This window comes from Homo sapiens, chromosome 1, assembly GCF_000001405.40.
Source record: "Homo sapiens chromosome 1, GRCh38.p14 Primary Assembly".
Taxonomy (NCBI): Eukaryota; Metazoa; Chordata; class Mammalia; order Primates; family Hominidae; genus Homo; species Homo sapiens.
Window position 1 is genome coordinate 33368792 of NC_000001.11, and position 22314 is coordinate 33391105.

General features: G+C 47.8%; 1 protein-coding gene across 9 annotated transcripts in view; it reads right to left on the reverse strand.

Moving 5' to 3' along the window:
- Positions 1-22314, reverse strand: part of PHC2 (polyhomeotic homolog 2) — a 107470-nt gene that overhangs the window by 45166 nt on the left and 39990 nt on the right. For 8 of the 9 annotated variants that reach the window (NM_001330488.2, NM_001385121.1, NM_198040.3 and 5 more), the window contains 4 exons: positions 6575-6802; positions 3498-3656; positions 2226-2303; positions 1630-1794 (listed from right to left, as the gene is read on the reverse strand). In NM_001330488.2, coding sequence (NP_001317417.1) covers positions 1630-1794; positions 2226-2303; positions 3498-3656; positions 6575-6748 — 576 coding nt within the window. In that variant the 5' untranslated portion in view covers positions 6749-6802. The remainder of the gene's footprint in view (positions 1-1629; positions 1795-2225; positions 2304-3497; positions 3657-6574; positions 6803-22314) is intronic. The other variant, NM_001385123.1, reaches the window with a different exon arrangement.

Below are 22314 nucleotides of genomic sequence, written 5' to 3' on the forward strand. Positions count from 1 at the left end.
TAGAAGCAGAAAGGAAGGGGGAGTCCAAGGGGAGCGCCTGCCTTTCTCTAGAGGCTCGTTGCATCCTGACCCAGGCTGGGTGCAGGGGTGGGTGGGGAGAGCCGCTCTGGGGCTACACCAAAGCCGAGTTCCCTTCAGAACCCTCTGTGAGGGGCTCATCCTAGAGGAGACCGATATCCCCAGGATACGCTGAAGCCACCACCTCCTTAGCGTCCTGGGAAGCGAGATGGATGCCCTAGGACCACCTTCCAGGTCTAACCCACTGCTGAACCCAGGGCTGAGCCAAGATGAGACTGCCCTCCAGGGGATCAAGTTCGATGTATCCTTTTGGTCATTTTCTAGTCAAAGTTAGATTCAGAGGGGCCTAGAGACAACAACAGCAGAGGAAGCGGACCGCCTGGAGCCGTCCTCATGTCTGAATCCCATCCTGCAGGGTGCAGGATCCATGGTGTTCTCTGCATGACACCTCGACCTCCGTGGGAGTCTAGCTCTGCATCAGTGTGGATGTGCTGGTGCCTTGACAGGGTGCTTTCCCTAGAACTCTGCGATAGCGCAGCTGTGCTTTTTCCTCTGTGGGTGTATGCCCTGCTCTGGGGAGGGAGGCAGACAGGCAGGCATCACGACCCCAGTGGAGTAGGACATAGGGACAAGCAACCTGCAGACACAGTCAGCTTTGGGCAGCAGCATCACAGTGTGGCTGTCCAGTTCCCGAGGAGATGGAAGTCTATTTCATGCCTTGTGTCTAAGAGGCTGTTCCCTGGGGATAGAGATGCGCCTCAAATGATGAACTCAGAGCCAAGAACAAATGTGCGGGAGCAAGACCAGACAAGCTCCGAGGGTCACGTCCTGGCCATAAGAGCAAAGGGAGGGGTGGGACTGTGTTACTTTCGGGATAGTGTGTCAAGAGCCCGAAGGAGCAGACTTCAGAATGGGAGGTATGAGACACGACCCACAGTGACTGAGCCCTAGCTGGGGCTGCATGCTACTGCCACCCAGGGAGTATGCTGCCATTTTCCCAGGGCATTCTCCTAAATCTTAGGGACCTGGTAGGCTCCTAAGGACCTTTGCACCCCTCAGGGATAGGTGCAAAGGAAAGAGTTGGTGCTATCCTGAGTATATCCTGCCCAAACAAGCTCACCTGACCCTGATTAGAATGGGGGCCGCTGGGAGGGCAATGGAGGCACGCTGAAGCTGGAAAGCATCTTTGGCCCTTGAGTTAGAGGTGGCCAGTCCTTGTAAGGATGGTGGGAAGGGGAAGACTCCATTTCTGTCAAGTATATGGATGTCTGGGTGTCCAGGACCACCTGGGCATGAACCACTCTGCCCATCCTGATTAATTTTGAGGAGTTTCTGATAAGGGGACACTTCTGTTTCACTCTAGGAGGAGAAGGAAAGGTGGCATCGCAGGAACTTTCTCTGTTTCAGTCTGGAGCCCCACCCTTCATGACTCTTCGAGGCTGTACCAAAGCTCCCACTCAGCCTTCCAGGCCCCCTTCTTTATCCCACCCCTTATCTCCTGCCCCTGCCCCTAGTGCTTCCTCCCCACCCTTCTCCAGCTCCCAGCTCCCAGCTTCTCTGCCTCTGTCCTCCTGGTGCCTCTGAGCCATGGCCCTGGCCATGGGTACTCACCATCTGTGCCCTCAGATACATCTGTGCTTGGCTTGCAGTCAGGGCTGGGGAAGACGTGTTGCCCAAGAGCACAGCCTGCTGAGCGATGCCTGAGGCTGCTGCAGAGTTCACACTCTGGGCCCGGTTGAGGAGCTGGGCTGCTGCTGGGGAGGCTGCCAGGTTGATCTAATGAGAGAGACATGTGCGGTAGGAGATAGGAGGTTCTGTTGGTGAGCTGTGTCCCCCTCATCCATTTCTTTCTCCCCCCTCTTTTGCTCCTTGGTTTATTCAGCCTCCTTCAGGAACGTCTGTGGTCCTTGGCTTTGGAGCAATCCCCCAGCCCTGTCCCATCTCTGACCTTGGTGCAGAGCTGCAGGGGGATCCCATGTTGAGAGAACTGAGCTATCCACAGAGAGCCCTGACACTGGGAGGATGACAGGGAGTTACTAACCTAAAGGTCAGTAAGAGACATGCCCTTTTCTTTTTCTTCCCGGTAAGGGCAATAGATTCCAGCCATGATGCTACATGGCCACGGATTCACCACAACTGGGTCTGGGAACTTGGGCATTTTGGTCCTGGGGCTGTGGACTCTGCTGCTGCTCCCCCATTCTACTCACCGAAGATGACTGGGCCGGGGCCTGCGCAGACACATTGCTGCCTGAAGTGCTTCCTTGTCTATTGGATACCAGGCTTGCCTAGGAAAGAACAAACTCCTCTTGCTAGAGTCCCAGACCTCCCCCAGTCACTCCTGGGCTCTCATCATCCACAGGAGGTGCTGCAGGCTGGTGTTAAGGACAACAGCCTCTGGAGGTCAGCCCCCAACCTGCCTCTATGTGGCCCACAGCAAGTATCCCGCCTCCTCTGTGAATAGGTGAGGATGCTAACAGTACCTGCCTGATAGGATTGCTGAGAGGACTGAATAAGGCAAGGCATTGCCACTGAGCACTCCAACTATTAGGCCACCGCCTTCGGTGTGTGGAGCCCTCCACTCCACCACTATCACACCCGGCCACCACCATCACACCCAGCCACCACCATCACACCTGGCCACCACCATCACACCCAGCCACCACCATCACACCTGGCCACCGCCATCACACCCGGCCACCGCCATCACACTTGGCCACTGCCATCACACCCAGCCACCGCCCCCCACAGAGAATTTGCAGACATGAGCTGGAGTGTCCAAACTGCCCTTCTCCCCATGGCCGGCTTCTCATCCTTCAAGTGTCAGCTCCAGTGTTACTCCAACAGACAGGCTTTTCCTGACCATGCAATGCAAGGCCGTCTACCTTGCCCTTCAGTCAGAACAATCTGTTCTTCTCTTTCATGGCGCTTATTGTAACTTAGAGATTTAAATATTTTGTTTCCTTGGCTATTCTGGTTCCTGTTTACTTGCTGTCTCCTATTGTAAGTGCCAAGAAGACAGGGTGCTCAGTATACCCAGTGCTTGATACAAACTTTGCATGCAGAAGGTACATAAAATGTTTTTCTGAATGGATAAATGAATGTGTTCTTCTCAGCTAAGGAGGAGAGAGAGCAACAATGGGCAGACAAGCTAAACAGGCAGTGCCCTTCGTTCACGAACGCTTCCCTGGAACCCACAGTCCTTTCCCTAGACCTGCGGTAAGGTGGTTAGGAGAGGGGCTCCCCGGCACTTCTTCCATGGGCTAGCATTCCGCCGCTATAGTCACTAGCTGCATGACCCTGGGCTCTGTCCTTCATCTGCCAAAAGGAGATAATGACAGTAGTGCTCGTGTCACAAGGACTTCTTTAGGTTGCAGGTAAGAGAAGGATGTGAAGCGCAGGTGCGGTGCCTGCTTCCTCTCCCTTTTGCTTCCACAACCAGGATGCCTGGCACCAGCCTCAAGGTCCTTCCCAAGTCTCACCTGCTGTACGGCTGCCAGGCTCTGGAGCTGGGCGCTGCTGAGGTGCTGCTGCTGGAGCGCCGCGGTCTGCAGCATGAGGTGCTGCTGCTGGGCGGCGTACATCTGCTGCAGGTACTGAGCGGCCGTGCTGGGCTGTCTGTGCAGGGCCTGCTGGATCACCTGAGAAGGGAGGGAGGGGGAAGAGCCAGGCTGGTAGCTGCCACACAGAACACCCCTTTGGCAGTAATGCCTTGCCCACCCCAGGTCTCTATAACTGCTCGGGAGACACCAAGATCTGTGACCACCACCACAGCCAATTGTGGCCACTCTCTAGGGCAGTGGGAGGACAGCTGTTCGCAGAGCTTCTTCATCATGTCTAACTTTGTCTATCTTGCCTCTCTCTGCAGCTCCTCCCCAGCACGGCCTGCTCCTGCATCAACTGCCTCGGTGAGGAGAATCAGAGCCGCACGCCAGTGCTTTAACCAACTCTTGGGCAGTAGGGAGGCTCAGGGAGACAGAAGGGTCTCCACCAGGCTTGTCAGGCACTCCTCTCCCTCTGTCACTCTGCAGCCTCAGATGAGAGTGAAGCTCAATAAGGCAGGGAAAAGAATGGGGGTGGAGGGAAGAGCCAAGTCAGCAGGGGGCCTACTCCAGCTTCAGCAACAGCCAGCCACAGGCAAACTTAGGTGGAGGCAATGCCTCCTTCTTGAGGCTGGGGCTGCAAGGCAGACTTGGGGCTGCTCCCCAGCTCTGCCCACAGCCTCTCAGAGTCCCATCAATCCCTTAGAATAAGGTTGTCTGGGCCTTACAGAGCAGGCCAGTGCCACAGGGACAGCACACTCCCCTTTTATTCTTTTTTTTGGAGGGGGGATGGAGTTTCGCTCTTGTTGCCCAGGCTGGAGTGCAATGGCGTGATCTCGGCTCACTGCAACCTCTGCCTCCCTAGTTCAAGTGATTCTCCTGCCTCAGCCTCCCAAGGAGCTGGAATTACAGGTGCCCGCCACCACACCTGGCTAATTTTTTTTGTATTTTTAGTAGAGACGGGGTTTTACCATGTTGGCCAGGCTGGTCTCGAACTCCTGACCTCAGGTAATCTACCCACCTCGGTCTCCCAAAGTGCTGGGATTACAGGCGTGAGCCACTGTGCCCGGCCCCCTTTAATTCTTTCCCTTCCTCTCTCTCTCCATCATTCCCTCTTTTTAGCTGCTGTCTCCCATTCCCTGGCCTTACTGCTTATTCCTTCTTTCCTGATGGGATTGGCCAATCTCCTGGAAAGGACAAAAGGCTGTCCTTTGATCCTCCCCATCCCCAGGAACAAAGAACAGCGAGTGCCTTTCCCCAGCCCTAAGATCCTCTGTCTTCTTCCTGTGAGTCCCAGAGACATTTCTCCTCCCTTCTCCCACTGGTCACCCTCCTGCCATCTCTTCCCAGTTGATGCCCTGCACTGGCCTTCACCAGGCTTCCCCCTATTTTCTACCCTTACCTCTGCTGAATCCCTGGCCACAGGCAGCTCCTGACCCTGGGCCCTGTCCCGGCGAGCAAGCCTTGCCAGAACGGGGCCCAGGGTCAGGTCAGGCTTTCCCCAGGTTGGTGTGACTTCTAGGGCTGACAGCTCTAGGACAAAACAGCCTCTGGCTCAGATTTGGGGTTCTGTAAAAACAGCCTGTTGTTATAGCAGATCCTCCGTGGGCTCTGGTGTCTCCCCAGACATCCCCATCCCAACTCTTCCACATGTTGCCCCCAGATTCCACTCCTCTGACGTGAACACCCCTCTCCGATACCCTGTTTTATTTTAACTCTATTCTTTTTCTCTCCTGCTCTCTCAGAATTATCTGTCTGTATTCCCTTTGCCTAGGCCTTTCTATTAGACTCCTGAAAGTGACCTCCCCAGCAGTCCAGCCCATGTAGTTGAGATCCTGTGACCCTTCCTCATGAGAAGATGTCAATGAAGGGAGACAGGAGGAGCCCAGGATGGTTCTGCATGCAACCTTGGGTGATTCCACTCGCCAGAACAGGACCCCAGACCCCCTTTTGCCTAGAATTGTGATGAGTGGCAGGAGTGGGTATATCTGAATGCCGTGGCTATAAATCAGAGCTAAGGTTCTCATGCATGATGGGCCAGGGCCAGGTGCTGGGGCTAGGGACAAGGGTAGGGGCAGGAAACATGGATTCACTAAGCACGAGGTAGAAATAAGTGGGAGAGGGAAGAGTCCAGGGTATCTGATGGCATCTTCTTTAACTTGGGTTTTCAGGCCCTCTTACTGTCTGTTGTGGGTTCTCCCTTGTTCCCTTATCTGGGCCTAAGTTCAAAGCAGGATGAGGTCACTTTTCTAGTATATCCAAACTGTAATAGCAAAGTCACTGGGAGTAAACACTTCTCAGCTGTGGTCTCTCTTTTCTGCCTGTATTATCCAGGAACCTCAAAAAAACATTGTAGTGATTAAGAACACAGGTCTGGGGTGAGAGGTTCAATTTTTTTGTCTTTACCTGAATGACCTTGAACAAGTTATTACCTTCTCTGAGCCCCAGTTTTCTCAACTACAGAATTGTGCCTAATAATAACCAAAAGGATAAGCGTGCAAAATGCTTAGTACCATGTCAGGCACACAGCAGATGGTAGTGCATGGCCCTGACTGCATTTAGGAGCAGTGAGCCGCCACCTGGAAGGCCTTCTGGATGACATTTGCCAACTGCTGCTTTAAGGGAGAAGGTAAAAAGCTGCAATGACAAAGGATTATTTGGGGGTTCTCTTTGGCTTTTGGTCTCTGAAAAACTGAGATGTGTTCTTCACCGGGCAATGGTCATTTAGAGAGTGGGTCTGGGTTGTGGCTGAGCAGCTCTTGGTCATGTATTATTTGTTATTGTTACTTGTCTGCCCTTTATACTTTCACACACGTGTCCTCCAAACTCCTTGATTGGGCCATTTTGCATCCTTCACCCCCTGTAACTATACACAAATGTGTATCTACGAACTCACTCCCATATGCCCGTTCTAGAGTCCACATCTAGATTATCCCACCAGACCATGCCAACACCTCCTCCTTGCTAGCCCTGGAGATGATTAAGGAGTATAATTCCCAGATCAATTAGACTCTTACCTGCACGGTCTGCCGGTCTGGAATACCACTGTACACAGAAATCTGGGGCCCGGTGGGGCGGCCACTTCCACCACTGCTGCTGTTGTTGCAGCCACTGCTGCTACTGGCCCCGCTGGTACTGCTGGTGGCACAGGCACTGCTAGATGTATGTGGGACTGGCAGCTCATTCTCCATGGCCTGCAGTGTGGCGCAGTCAGGGCGCTCGGATGGCAGAAGGGCAGGCAGATGCTAGGAGGGAAGAGGCAGAAGTGAATGTTTTGACAGACGCTTACTAGAGAATGTTCACAAAGTCAGCCTTTTGTATCTGTGGGTTCCACATCCATGGATTCAACCAACCACAGGATCAAAAATATTCAAAAAATACGGTGTCTGTACTGAACACGTAAACTTTTTTTGTGTCATTATTCCCTAACCAATACAGTGTAACAACTATTTGCATAGCATTTACATTGTATGAGGTATTATAAGTAATCTAGAGATGGTTTAAAGTATATAGGAGGATGTGGGTCAGTTATATGCAAATGTTATGCTACTTTATATTAGGGACTTGAGCTTCCATGAATGTTGGCATCCAAGGGGGTTCCTGGAACCAGTCCTCAGTGGATACCAGGTGACGACTATGCAGTATATACATCAGCTTTCCAGTCTGTGGTGGGGCCACTTGGGAACTGAGGTCTCTGTTTTTTGAGACTGGAGTTTTGCTTTATCACTCAGGCTGGAGTGCAGTGGCACAATCTCGGCTCACTGCAATCTCCATCTCCCGGGTTCAAGCGATTCTCGTGCCTCAGCCTCCTGAGTAGCTGGGATTACAGGCGACCACCACCACACCCAGCTAATTTTTGTATTTTTAGTAGAGACAGGGTTTCGCCATGTTGGCCAGGCTGGTCTCGAACTCCTGCCCCTGAGTGATCCACCTGCCTTGACCTTCCAAAGTGCTGGGATTATAGGCATGAGCCGCCATGCCCGACCACTTGGGAACTGAGGTCTTAAGACACACTTGCCCTCAGAAGGACAGGGCAGACTTGGTTCACTAGGTGAGATTTGAGATCAGGTCTGGCTGATTCTAAAGCCTATGACCTGTTTATTTTGCCAGAGGAAGCAAAACTAGGAAAGGAGGCAGACTTCCTATAACGTTCTCCCTAGCAGTGATCTCATGGATCACCTCTCACCCTATCAGCCTTTTCATCGTTGGGGTGGGGACACTGAACATCAGAGAATTTACTATTTGTCCATATTTATACAGCCACCTAGTGAAAGAAGCAGGACTAACAATCTACAGAGAAGGCCGGGTGCGGTGGCTCATGCCTGTAATCCCAGCACTTTGGGAGGCTAAGGTGGGCAGATCACGAGGTCAAGAGATCGAGACCATCCTGGCCAACATGGTGAAACCCCATCTTTACTATAAATACAAAAATTAGTTGGGCATGGTGGTGTGCGCCTGTGGTCCCAGCTACCTGGGAGGCTGAGGCAGAAGAATCACTTGAACCCAGGAGACAGAGGTTGCAGTGAGCTGAGATCACACCACTGCACTCCAGCCTGGTGACAAAACCAGAAGGCAATCAAATAAACTGAGGTGTTTATTTAGTTTAGTTTTCAAAGCCAGAAGAGCTCAAGTGTGTTTGAGGTATCTATCTTTATTAGGTATGTACTTACTGAGTGCCCTCTGGATCTAACGCTTAGCAGGGTACCATACTGACCAATCTGGTTAAAATCTCAGGTTGTGGAATCAGAAAGACTTGGCTTTGTCCTGGCTCTGCCACTTTCTAGCCAGGAAATCCTGGCATGTCACACCTGTCTGACCTGTTTCTTAATCAATTAGATGTGACAGGATATGGGCTGTGGTGAACATAAAGAAAAGTGATGATGAAAGGTGCTCAGCAGAGTGCCAAGCATATCCTGTGTGCTCTGTAAGCACTGGCTCTTGTGGCCTGGTTCACACTGCCCAGATCCAATAGATAGGGTCTCTCCTAAGACAGAAATGGCAGAACCTTCTGGAATCTCCTATCCCAGTCAGTAAGGAGGGCCATAAATTCCTTCAGGGCCCATCCTATGGTCTGAATACAGAACTGGAAATTCTACCTTCCCTTGAGGCTGTGTGCTTGGCAGTGGAGAGGGGTTGGGAAAGAAGGAAAGGGTGGTGGGAGAGGCACACCCAGATCTGAGTTTAAGTTCCTCTTTTTTTCTTTTTCCATGCTTTTCTTAAAAATCCTCATTTCTGTGTAGAGGCTGTTCCTTCTACCCATTCCTTCCTACATGGAAAAATAATATTTGTTTGTCACCCCATCACACACATTCAGTCATCTGCTTGTAGAGTATACCCATTTAATAGGTGAAGAAAATATAATTTTTCATACTAATGAGAGCATGATTAGTGCAAAGAGCCAAAGTAATCATTACTATTCTGCTGCTATCTCCCCAATACTGCTCAGTTTCAGGGTTATCATTGCTCAGGCTGCCTTCTTCAGACTGGGGGAATTTCACTGTGGGCTGAAAAAAGTGTGGGTAAAGTCTAAAAGACAGGAATGTTGGGAGTCTGGAAACCCAAGCCACTCCCAGGTGGCAGGCAGCAAGTTGCTTATGATTTCCAAGGCAGTGTAGCAGCCTGCAAGCTGCACTCTTGACCTTACTCTTTAAGCAGTGATTTTTCCTTATGTTCATATGTCTGCTTTTACTGCCATAGAGCAAGGTGCTTGTCCATGAATTAATTCCCTTTGTCCTGAGCTGCACGCAGTGCTGGGCCTTATTATGGCTACTGACTTGCTAAGGATGCTTATGATGATAATGATGATGCAGGAATCAATGAAGCAGCAAAGTCAACAAGTACTTCCTATGTCTTGGCGCTGTCAAAATCCACTTTATCTTATGTTCTAGGGAGGGAAAATTAGGCTGCATAAAAAGTGGTAGGAGGTATAATTCCTGATCTCACAGAAACTGAAAAACTAATTGTAAAGGTGAGGTGCAATTGAAATTATAAGGATCATCAAGCAACAAATCAGTAAATGATAGTTCCATTCAAACACAGACTACCTCACAGAATCCCAACATCTTCTCTTAGTTCAAAGTCTCACCTCCCTTTTCCCAAATGTTGGCCAGAATTGGGTTTCATTTCTTGCTTTTCATTACACACTGGAAAATCTCAACTGAAGTACTTATAAATATAAAAAATAAAATGGGAAAATAGGGCAGAAAATTAAGAGGGTAGAATAATCTACATCCTGGATGATCAAGTCTCAGTTCTATTTCTGTGAGTGTAGTTAATCATACTGAATTGCACACTTAAAATCTAGTCATATTCTGACCTTCCCTCCTCTATCCTTCACGTGATTGAGAGAGCAATCAAGAGAGTAAGAGAGCACACTTGAAAGACAGCCACAGCTATCAAAAGCATGAGCTAGAACAGAGGCTGTGTAGAGGCTGTTCCTTCTACCCATTCCTTCCTACATGGAAAAATAATATTTATTTGTCATCCCATCACAGACATTCAGTCCTCTGCTTGTAGAGTATACCCATTTAAGAGGGGAAGAAAATATAATTTTTCACATTAATGAGAGCATGATTAGTGCAAAAAGCCAAAGTCATCATTAATGTCCTGTTGCTATCTCCCCAGTACTGCTCAGTTTGGGGGTTATCATTTCTATTTCTTTTTTCCTTTTGTAGCAGCTAGGGCAGACACTGTGGAGAGTGTACACTCAAATCTTGTTAAGAAATAAGACAAAAGTCTTGAGGGAGCATGGCATTCCTTTACAGAAAAACTGTACAGGCCAGGACAGCCACTGCTCCCCATGCAGGGGAGAGAGACTTACTGCAGCAACCTGGGCACGTGGGCACAGTGCACTTCCCACACTCTTGTCGCCTGTCTCCTCCTGTGGGCAAGCATGCCTTTCCTTTCTTCTCTCTCCAGTTCTAGGCTTTGTCTCCCCGCCCACCGCCCCCCTGCCCCCCCACCCCCCCACTGCCCCCCTGCCCCCCACCCCCCCACCGCCCCCTGCCCCCCCCATCCCCCCTGTCCCCCCCTTCCCCCCGGTCTCCCCTGCCCACTGTCCCCCTTGCCCTCCCACCATTCCCCCTGTCCCCCCACCATCCCCCCCGCCCCCCACCATCCCCCCACCCACTGTCCCGCCCCTCCTCCCACTACCACCCCCAACCACCCGTGTCTTTTCTGTGTCAGTAGTTTTTGATTCCCCAGTCCCTGGTTTTCCCACTCTTTCCCTGCCCCTGGTCCCTGCCATCTCTCACACCTGTGCCCATGCTCCCTTTCACCACTGATTTCTCAGAGCTGCTCCTTGGGTGGGCCCATCCTCAGTGTGCTCACCCTCCCTCACTCTGCCTTGGCTCTCTGGAATACGAGCACGTCCTCCCCCTCGCTCTTGCTCCCACTCTTGCCCTCTTGCCCCGCTGTGATTGATCCAGACTGGTAGCTCCGTTTCCCTCTAATGAGCTCTCTCCCCTACTCGACCTTCTTGCTGCCTCCTGGGCTGCTCGCCCTTGACCAGTCTCCTGCCTCTGGCTCCCCGTGGCTCTCCCAAGTGCCCGCACCCTTGCTGCACATGCTCCAGCTCTCTCTCCTGTCGCTTGTAGTCTCCCCCTCCCTGAGCATCTGCCATCCCAGGCTTGATCAGCAGGTCTGTCTCTTCAATTCACACAGACACTCTCTCTTACTTCTTGGATAGTGCATGCTCATGTTGCTCTCTGTCCCCAGCTTGCACCCTCTGTTCTAGCTCACACTTTTGATAGCTGTGGCTGTCTTTCAAGTGTGCTCTCTCACTCTCTTGACTGCTCTCTCTCTCAATCACTTATGTAAAGGATAGAGAAGGAAAGTTCAGAATATGACTAGATTTTAAGTGTGCAATTCAGTACCATTAACTACACTCACCTGTTGTGCAATCATCACCACCATCTATTCCCAGAACTTTCTCATTACCCAAAACAGAAACTCTGTAACCATTAAGCAATAACTCCTCAGTCCCCCTTGTCCCCTGCCTATCCCCTAACCTCTAATCTACTTTCATTCTCTATGAATTTGCCTGTTCTAGATAGCTCATTTAAGTGGAAGCATATTAATATTTGTCCTTTTGTGTCTGGCTTGTTTCACTTAGCATAATGTTTTCAAAGTTCATTCATGTTGTAGCATGTATGAGAATTTCTTTCCCTTTGATAGCTGAATAGTATTCCATTGTATACCTACATACACACCACATTGTGTTTGTTCATCTGTTGATGAACACTGGGGTGGTTTCCACCTTTTGGCTATTGTGAATAATGTTGCAATGGAATGAACACGGCATATAAGTCCTTGCTTCTGTTCTGTTGGGTATAACCTAGCAGTGAAATCTCTGGGTCATATGTTATTCCATGTTTGGGCATGTGAATATCCATTTGTCCCTGCATCATGTGTTGAATTACCTCTGTTCTTGGGCCCACCCAGTGCCCCCACCCCACAAGCTGCTCCATGTGGGATGTGAAACCCTCCATGATCTGACCCATTTTGCCTTCCTGGCCTCATTTTCCACACTTGCACTCTCTCTGGTCTCAGCATTATGACCAAGGTGCCCAGGTCATTTGGAATTTGGCTGCCTTGCTACTTCCTACCTCTGTGGTTTTTACCGCTGTGGTTTCACTCACGCTATTCCCCTCCCCTGAAATGCCTTCCTTCAATTTTTCATGTAACCAACTCCTTAGATCTTCAAAACAACTTGAGTCTCTCCTGTGAAATATGCACTGAATGCAACCCCCCCAACTCTTCTCCTCTTGCTTCCTTCAAATTAGGTTCCAGTGTCTTCCTTTAAGCCATCCAGCTTAAAGGCTGCTCCCAGAGCACTCTGTGCCTGCCTGTCTCCTAGCACTTACAACATAGCCTTACAAGAAAGTGATTTGCTTGGGGGTGGGATCATGTCATATTTTCCCATAATACCTTGTGCTTCGTTCCATAGATGTTTGTTGAATAAAATTGCTTGAAATGCACCATACTCCATCCTACTCCTCATCTGAAAGCTTAATCTCTACCTCATCCACAAATTTCTCACCAACTAGTTTAAAACATCAGCCACCTGTGATTTCACTTCAGTACCTTCCATCAATGGTGTCTATACTAATAATAGTGATTATTTATTGAGCACTTACTACTTGTCAAGCACTATCATAGATACTATGACCTCCCTTATGGTATAGGTATGATTATCCCAATTTTGTCAATGAGAAATATATCTAAGCAATTTATGTAAGGTCATCATAGAACTGGGATTCAAAACCAAGTCCGACTCCAAAGCCAGAGCGCTTCCCATGATCCTCTCTGCAACTTCACCTTGAGCCATTATTTCAGCCACACTGGGTGAAGTCCGTGTCAAAGCATACTAGATTTTCAGTTGAAAACGAACTGATATCTCTGAATTTAATTCCCTAATTGTTAATTAATGTCCATTTATACTTACAAAATATTCTATGTAATATATATATAAAGGATAATATGCTTGTGTATCCATCAACCAGTATGAGAAATCAAAAATTACCATAATCTCCCTTGTTTTTTCTATGCAAGAACGGAGACCCAGTGTGGGGGAGGTAAGTGACTTGGGGTGATATGGCTCCCCTGATTCTCATCCAGTACCATGGAAGGCACCTCAGGAAACCTCCTGCCCGCATGGTGGTGGTGACTTATCAACGAGAGAGGTGAAGTTTGCCCTGCAGAGAAACCAGAAGCTAGGGTCCTGCCATATGTCACTTTATTGTTGGTCTCCTAGTAGAAGGGAACTTGAGTTGGAAGAAAACATAATTAGTAAGTGTGGACCCATATAACAGCTTTAAAACTTTTTTTTCTACAGTTCCCCTTTTTGAACCAGAGCTTTCATATCTCCCCCTTCACACCTTCCTTCCGCTCAAAGTTCTGGCTGCTGGAGAGTAGCGGAGGCATTCTGCAGTCTCAGTAAGGGCTACTGAGGCATCTGTGGACTCTCCTTACATCCTTCCCTCTGGTGACCCACATTAGAAAATCTGAATCCTTAAACTTTCACAGTATCTAGGCTTTCAGTATTCTACCCACCCCTTTTCAATTTCCTTTTAATTCCTACTCTTATTCTTTCCTTCTCTTCCAACTAGTTCTTTATTTCTTCCCCAAGGCCACCCATCCCTGCGGACTCCCATTATAAATCACAGCCAAATCTCATTAATGGCTAACATCAAGAACTAGAAGTCTGTTTTTCTCTGGGTTCCTACTCACTGTGTGGTTTTGTATGAGCCCGGGCTCTGAAGGGCTATGATTCCTATTTAAGTCACTTCTCCCCTCCTAACTGCAATGGGCCACTTTGAATGATGTGCTGAATATAACTGGCTTGGATAGTGATCTTATTACAGGTCTCTGCTGCCCACAGGGCCTGAGACCAGCAGCTGGAGAAACGCTGATGGTTCTGCCCTCCCAGGAGCCGCCAAGTCTACGAAACACTAGGCCTTTGTCCCCAGTGTCAGGGAAATCCATTTGCTGTGGATTACAGCTGTGACAGAGGTTCCGGGAAAGCAGAGGGGAAGGATACTGAAAACCTCTCTCCAAATCTAGCCTAAAGCCCTGGGGTAAGGCAGGGTGAGGTTTTTCCTAATGGAATCAGAGCTGGGCAGGAAATGAGAAGTCTCGTCAGCCCCATCGTGGCTGCTGGTATTATCATGAGGCGGCTTGGTATGGAGAGTCTGAAGAGATGGGTGAACATATTCCTTTGCTGTGGCTCTGCTTCTCCTTTCTGGATGCCCCTCCGCCAGAGGCATAAGGCAGTAATAACAGAAGATTCAGACTCCCTAGACTTAGGGGACCTGGGGGAGGCCTCCTTACACCTCTCGGCTGCTGCATGAACATAAGTGTCCTGATTTGTTCCAGTCTGAAGCCACTGACTCACTGGGAGCAGTCCAAATGGATGCAGCTCAAACCATCTCAAAAGGTCCCTCCCTCTCCCCTGTCCTCTGCATGTTGCCACCTTTAGTGTCTCTAGAAACCAAAGTAAGTAAATGAAGGCCAACAAAAATAGAAGTGAAGGATGAGGAATTAAAGCTGGTCATATAGTCCTAGCAATCCAAACAGAATGATTTCATTGTGATGCAAAACACTATAAATTTAAATGAGTAAACTTTCTGAAACCTTACTGTTTTCTTCCTAATTTATAAAAGGCAGGTTATATCAAGTATTTCTATAACAAGGTGGTGCTGGTTGGTTGAAGAATATGAGGAGGAAAAAGAAGGATTTGCTGTCTTTTGGAAGGGATGTACAGTGAAAGCCACACTGTGCAGATGCTGAATGCTTGGGGACGGGATGGATGAGTTTGTCTAGACTTGGGCAGCCCTGGACTCACTGCTGTAAGGCAGAGCAAAATATATTCTGTGTCTTCTATGGGCCCCTAATCAAATATAAGCAGTGTCCTTATAAAAGAACGCCATGTGAAAACAGGCACACACGGGGAGAAGCCAGCCACGTGAAGATGGAGGCAGAGATTGGAGCTATGCTGCCACCAGCCAAAGAACACCTGCAGCCACCAGAAGCTAGGAAGAGGCGAGGAAGGACTCAGGGGGAGCATGGCCCTGCCGACACCTGGATTTCATACTTCCAGCCTCCAGAACGGTAACATGATACATTTGTGTTGTTTTAAGCCACCCAGTTTGTGGTAATTTGTTAAGGCGGCCTTAGGGAACTATTATGCTGCCTAATACTCAACCTGACCAGCCTAAAAAGGTCAACTGAAACTAATGGTAAAAAAGGGTGCAAAGGCATTAAAAACAGCCTCGTTAATATCATGGCTTTGTATGCTCCAAGGCAAGGCTTCTCAAAAATGTGGTCCCTTGGCAACTCTCCAAAAATGCAAATTTTCAGGCACCACTTCAGACCTACGGAATCAGAAATTCTGGGAGCAGGGCTCAGCAGCCTGTGTTCTCACAGCCTTCTGGGAGATTCTGATGCTGATGAAGCATGAGAGCCACTGCTCTAAGGGGCCCCACTATCCATTTGAATATGAGATTTAAAAGGGGCAGTCATCATTGATGCCATAAGATGGTCATAATGAAGTCCCTGCAAAAAGGGGCTAGAATTTGAGATGGGAAGAGTTACCAAACATAGTTTCTTCCCTGCTGAAACCTCAAAATACCTCCACGTGGAAAGAAAATGTTGGCAGCACTCTGTTTAGGGATCTTCCTGTTTCTCTCCAGCTTCATTGCCTACCACGTGCTCCCACACAGCTGATTCCAGAATTAGTCATATGCTGTCTCACCCCTTGCCCAGACCTTTCCCTCTGCCTGGGCCACTCCCCAGGCCCCTCACTCTCCATCTCCCTGGCCGGAGCGCATTCACCCTTTGCAGTTCAGCTATAACGTCTGTTCCTCTTAGGGACTTCCTTTTTGTACCCCAGCCTAGATTTGGTGCCTTCTTCTGAACTTTAATAGCATAGCAGGACAGCTGATTTTATTTACTAGGTAGTGATTCCATTATTTTTAGATTCCTAATGCCTAACATGGTGCCGAGCCAGCAACAGTAAGATTTTGTTAAATGAGGAATGAATAAAGCTTGAAGCTCTTTGGGAAGCTCTTCACCTCCTGATGAGGAACCCAAGGTTAAAATACCGAAACACACTGTGCAAATACCATGTTATCTGAGAAGGGACCTTTGAAACTATTAGTAGCCATTAGCACCTTTACTCAAATTTGTGGGTCCAGATGGCTACTCTCAACAGGGCCTAGGACATGTAAATTTTGATTTGGGAATGGAGAGGGGAAATGAAAGATGAGTGGTGTTGAAGTGATGGGTGTGGGACTGTGGTCACTGCAAAAAGCAGATGTAGAAGGTCCTGGCCAAAAGGCTGGGACTAGACCCAGTCACACATTGACTAGGTGGGAGCTAGGCAGCAGCATTATGTGGAGATCATAATACCTTACCCCGACCTCCCAGAGCTTCCGGAAAATGAAACAACATAAATAGGAGAAAGCATTTCGGAAACAAAAATCACACAAAGGCAAAGTATCATGAGAGAGAGTTTAGAAAAGGGGAGAGACGTTCTACTCCATAAAAATGAGCAAACATTGCCAGGGCAGGGTTTACATACAGGAATGCAACCCTGGCCATGTTACGTAACCTTTCTGCGCCTCATTTGCCTCTCTGTAAAATGGACAAGAGTGCAGACTTCATTGGTTTTAAATAATAGGTAAAACAATGCATTTAAAACATCCAGCACAGCTTAAGCATGGATTACAAAGAGAGTACATTAAGGTAGGACAGAAGTTGACTTTTTTTCCCTCAGAGAAAAAAGATACTATCATTTCCTTCAATAAACTCAAAGTTAGATTTTGAGACCGGCTGGTCTCAGGCCCTGTGGGCAACAGAGACCTATAATAAGATCACTATCCAAGCCAGTTATAGTCAGCACAGTGTTCTCAGGTCTAGTAACTTTCTTGGGTCTAGTAACAGAATAAAAATTTTTTTTTTTTTTTGAGATGGAGTCTTGCTCTCTCGCCCAGGCTGGAATGCAGTGGCATGATCTCGGCTCACTGCAACCTCTGTCTCCCAGGTTCATGCAATTCTCCTGCCTCAGCCTCCTGAGTAGCTGGGATTACAGGCCTGCACCACCACACCCGGCTAATTTTTGTATTTTTAGTAGAGATGGGGTTTCACTATGTTGGCCAGGCTGGTTTTGAACTCCTGGCCTCAGGTGATCCACCTGCCTCGGCCTCCCAAAGTGCTGGGATTACAGGCGTGAGCCACTGTGCCCGGCCCAGAGTAAATTTTTTTATGTTATAATCTCAGTCAGCTCTTCCTTGTTTAGCCTTTGTAAGGGTATGCATTTTGGGGATTTATACATAGAAATCTCAGTACCAAGGTCACGAAAAAGACTGCTATAAAAAAAAGACCCCTGGCTGAGTGCGGTGGCTTACGCTTGTAATCCCAGCACTTTGGGAGGCCAAGGCTGGTGGATCACAAGGTCAGGAGTTCAAGACCAGCCTGGCCAACATAGTGAAACCCCGTCTCTACTGAAAATACAAAAATTAGCCGGCCGTGGTAGTGGGCGCCTATAATCATCCCAGCTACTCATGAGGCTGAGGCAGGAGAATCCCTTGAACCTGGGAGGCAGAGGTTGCAGTGAGCCGAGACCATGACATTGTACTCCAGCCTCGGTGACAGAGTGAGACTCTGTCTCAAAAAAAAAAGATCCCTATAAAAATCTTTTCAAGCTGGGTGTGGTGACGCACACCTGTAATCCCTGCTACCCAAACTGAGATGGGAAGACTGCTTGAGCACAGGAGTTCATGACCAGCCAGGGCAACATAGTGAGACCTCATCTTAAAAACAAAATCTCTCCATACTAAATCTCCCCACAGAGCACAACACACAGCACACAGTGCATACACAGTGTGCACACAAAGTGCACATAACACATACACAAAGCACACAGCACACAGTGCGCACACACATCACAGTGTGCGCACACACACCCTGCACACATACAAAGCACACACACAGCACATACACAAAGTGCACACACAGCACACATGTGCATGTGCACATACACATACACACAGCTACTATTTCTAGAGTTGGCCATTTTCTCCTGCTCCTGCTCAGCCTTGAACTGGCCTGATGGTTAAACCGTAGTATGCTGGCCATTCTGCCGCTGCTATGTCCTGACAAGTATGACTAGGCCAACACAGGGATCATGGGAAGTGGCTAATTATCAGGCTTTCAGAATAAAGTTCAAGGGCCTAAAAACTTATCTAGAAATTTTTTACTGGCCTTCTTTTTCTCTTCCTCCACCCCTGAAATCGGGCTGTATCTTAGGCCTACCAGTGGCCCTACAGGTACCACTTAACTCTTTGTAACTCTGGGGTCAAGGATTTTGCTGACTTTCATGAACACTAGCATTGAGAGTGCCCTAGAGAAGCAGTGACTGTACGGGGTGCCCTGTTTTCTTGTGAAGATCTGAGCATGCTCCCCCCAGAGCTTCTTCCAAGGATACAGCCTACCTCCCTTGGAGTTTCCCTTTACATCTCCTATAAGGAGACTAAAGGAATGGGGCTTTAAGCTCTTTGATATATTCTAAAGAGAGACTGCCAGGGATAGATGGGGTGTCTCCCATCACAAGGGCCTTAATTAGGTATGTAGATGGTCTTTTATCCATTAGGAGGCCAGTATTTTCAGGCCAGCCACTGGTAAATGATAATAATTCTTGCCATTTATTGCTTGCTCAGGGACATAATATCATTTATTCTTCACAACCACCCTCTGGTACAGACACTACTTCCTCATTTTTCTCACAAGACAACTGAGATTCATAGAGGCCCTGTAACTTATCGGAGCCCCAGAGCTAGCAAATGGCAGGTGTAGGATCGGAAACACAGGTTTCAAAGTCCATGCACAAGAGGCAGAATTACTTGTGCTTATTCCGATCCAGGCCTCTCTGGGCCAGTCAGTTCTTATGAAGTTCACTTGGCTCCCATAGCCTTCTGTTTACTAGCCTATCTCACAAGAGTCATCTCCCGCAGCAGCGTCAGTCTAAGGCAAATGTGTCAACTAGAACTCTCTCAGGCCCTGCCTGGTATCCCTGAAATCACACTCTGAGTAATAATTAGGGCATGTCTAACATTTGTAGGCCTTTCCTGTTCATAAGTATTTCAACATATATTATCTACACATAAGGTTGGTCCTGTTAGCAATGTTTACAAAATCATTTGCAATCATTTAATTGAAAAGTAATACAAAACAAAAACAACTGTCCCACAGGAGAGAGGGGATAGAGGATGCCCACCTTTCCTGAATGCCCACCACATGCTGGGCACAAGCTCAGAGAGGCAATATAATTTATAAGAAAGAGGAGGAGCTTCATAGTTGGAGAAAGCTGTCTTGATTCCTGTCTCTGCCCCAGCTAGAAGACCTGAGACAGGTTACTTAACCTCCACAGGCCTTTGTTTCCTCATCTGGGAAACAGTGCTAATGACAGCAATTTTTTTTTTTTTTTTTTTTTTTAGACAGAGTTTTGCTCTTGTTGCCCAGGCTGGAGTGCAATGGCGCGATCCTGGCTCACCGCAACCTCCGCCTCCCAGGTTCAAGCGATTCTCCTGCCTCAGCCTCCCGAGTAGCTGGGATTACAGGCATGCGCCACCACGCCCAGCTAATTTTTTGTATTTTTAGTAGAGACAGGGTTTCACCATGTTGGTCAGGCTGGTCTCGAACTCCTGACCTCAGGTGATCTGCCCACCTCGGCCTCCCAAAGATTACAGGCATGAGCCACCACACCCAGCCCAGTGACAGCAATTATGAAGAGTTATTGGGAAAAGTAAATAAGAAAATGCAAGCACCTAAAAAATACGTAGAAAGAAAACACCCAGCACCATGTGCAGCACAGAATGGGCATCATTCTATCATGATCAAGTCTCCTCTGCCTGATTAATCCTTCCAGCATTGCTTTAGATCAGTGATTACATGAGGCAGCAGGTTCTGAGAGGTAAAGTAACTTCTAAGATCATAAAACTATGAAGTGGCATAAATCAGAATAGTCTGAATCTGGAGCTCATGTCCAGGTTGTAACGTGGGAGTGCCTTGAATGTGGAGAAGGGAAGATTCTCAAACATGTGGGTTTTTAATCCCTTACAATTTTTGACTACACTCTTAGTCCTGGCTTGGACACAAACTTTCCACCAGGCTCCCAAAAGCCCCATTCTCAAGTCCAAGAAATGTTCTTGTTAAAAAAAAAAAAAAAAGAAAGAAAGAAAAAAAACCCCCTCACCTACAGATGAAGTTGGAAGAAGTGACAACCAGGACAGACGTAAGCCACGGGTTGTGCATGTGGTGGGTGTTTGGCAGGGTGTGGGGGGTGCGAAAGAGACGAAGCTAGTTGGTGATTGCTATTACTAGATTCAATCCCCCACGCAACTCCAAGCTCTGTGCAGTAAAAGCATTTTAGAAATCCAGAGCAGTGAATGTTCAACACACATTCTTCTTGGGGATATTGTTCATGCAATGCTTCATCAGTTCTCAGGGTGTTTGGATTAATCTTAAGCCTACATTACATTATAAACAGGAGTATAACTTGAACTTCCAGCTTCCTTTCTCTACTCCTTTCCTCCATCTTCTTTGGGACCGTTCCCTTTTGAAGGCCTCATTGCTTTGGCCCAGCCACCACTTAAAGGGCCCAGCCCTTCCCAGGACATTTCCTCCTGCTTGCTTCTGCCCTGGCAACTTGTCCTGGCAGCTGTTTCATAGCTCTGGAATCACAAAGCAATTCCAGAGTCCCCTGGGCCTAGCTCTGGGGCCTCCTTACCCTCATTTGCCCCAAATAATAGCCTTTAATTGCTATTAACATTCCTTTCTAGCAGAAACATAGCATGCACATCTGTGGTCAGCCTGTGATCTACTGTGACCACCGGCCTTTTGCTTCCTGCCGTATTTGGAATGTTCTATTCCATTTTATACTCGTAAGTTTGCCTTTCCTCTGTTAGCATACATCTTGGCTTTTAGCTTCTTGTATTTCTAACCTGTTCCCTATTTGCAGGGGAAAATTATCTAAATGGATAGGTCCCCCTCAACCTCCCATTCTTTCCAGTCAAGCATAACTCTACCCTACTTCTTTTATCATATTTATGAAACGTAGGTAGCTAATTTTCAAATTAAAGTATGCAGAACTAGGACTACAGAGTGGAAATTATAAGAAGATAGATTTCAACTGAATAGAAAAAAAGTGCTTCCTAATCACTGGAGCTGTTTAAAAAGTAGAGTGGGGCTGGCTGTGAGGAAGTGAGTTCCTAGTCGGTGGAGGGGTTCAAGCAGAGGCTGGGCAACCATGGGGCAGGTGGAATTCGTGCAGCATCATCACTAGGGGCTCTTTTAACCATGGTAGCATATAATTCTGTGAAAACTTTTTACTGGACATCAGAAATCCACCTGAAATTTTAAGCTTTTTGCTTATTTTTAACTTATCCATTTATGGACATTTTCAATACTAATCTTGTTTTTCAAGATGCAGGGCAGCTCCCAACTGCTTTTCACCATCTAGTTACTAGAGTAAATTCCATTAGTACGAACTTCTGGATGTTCATCATCTACTTAAGGTGGAGAAAAACACTGTTCTTATTTTATGGATAGGACAGCCACAAAGTGGTCAAGTATAAAAGTCCATCTCTTTTGGATTCCCACAACACTTGTCAGCTGCCCAACCACCACCATCCGCCCCTTCCCATATTTATTGAACAATTACTATATGTTTGGTACTGAATGCAATACAAACATGACTCGGATATTGACTCTATTTTTAAGAAGTTAACAGTTTAAGAGGAAAAATAAGAAAAGCACATAAATATAACAGGAGTCAGCATTTTTTTTTTTTTTTTCTCTGTAAAGGGACAGAGTATCTAGGTTAGGCCTTGTACACCACATATGGTCTCTGCTGCACATTCTTCTTCGGTTCCTCACCCCCTCCAACCATTAAAAAAATGTAAATACTATTCTTAGTTTGAGGGACTTACATAAACAAGTTGTGACCTGGATTTGGCCCTTGGTTTATGCACCCCTGAAATGCAGGAAGCTGTCAAGGGATAACTTTCACTTGCATCAGCTAAAGTTTCATTTGGGTGGATCTTTAAAGACAGGTTCGATTGGGACTTCGGAAATGGGGAGGGGGCTTTCTAGGTGGAATGAGATCTTTCTCATCACACATTGTCCCCTCTTTTCTATTCTTAGAGCAGAGATTTTCAAAGAGTGAGGTCTTATTAAAAATGCAAATTTTCAGGTCCAC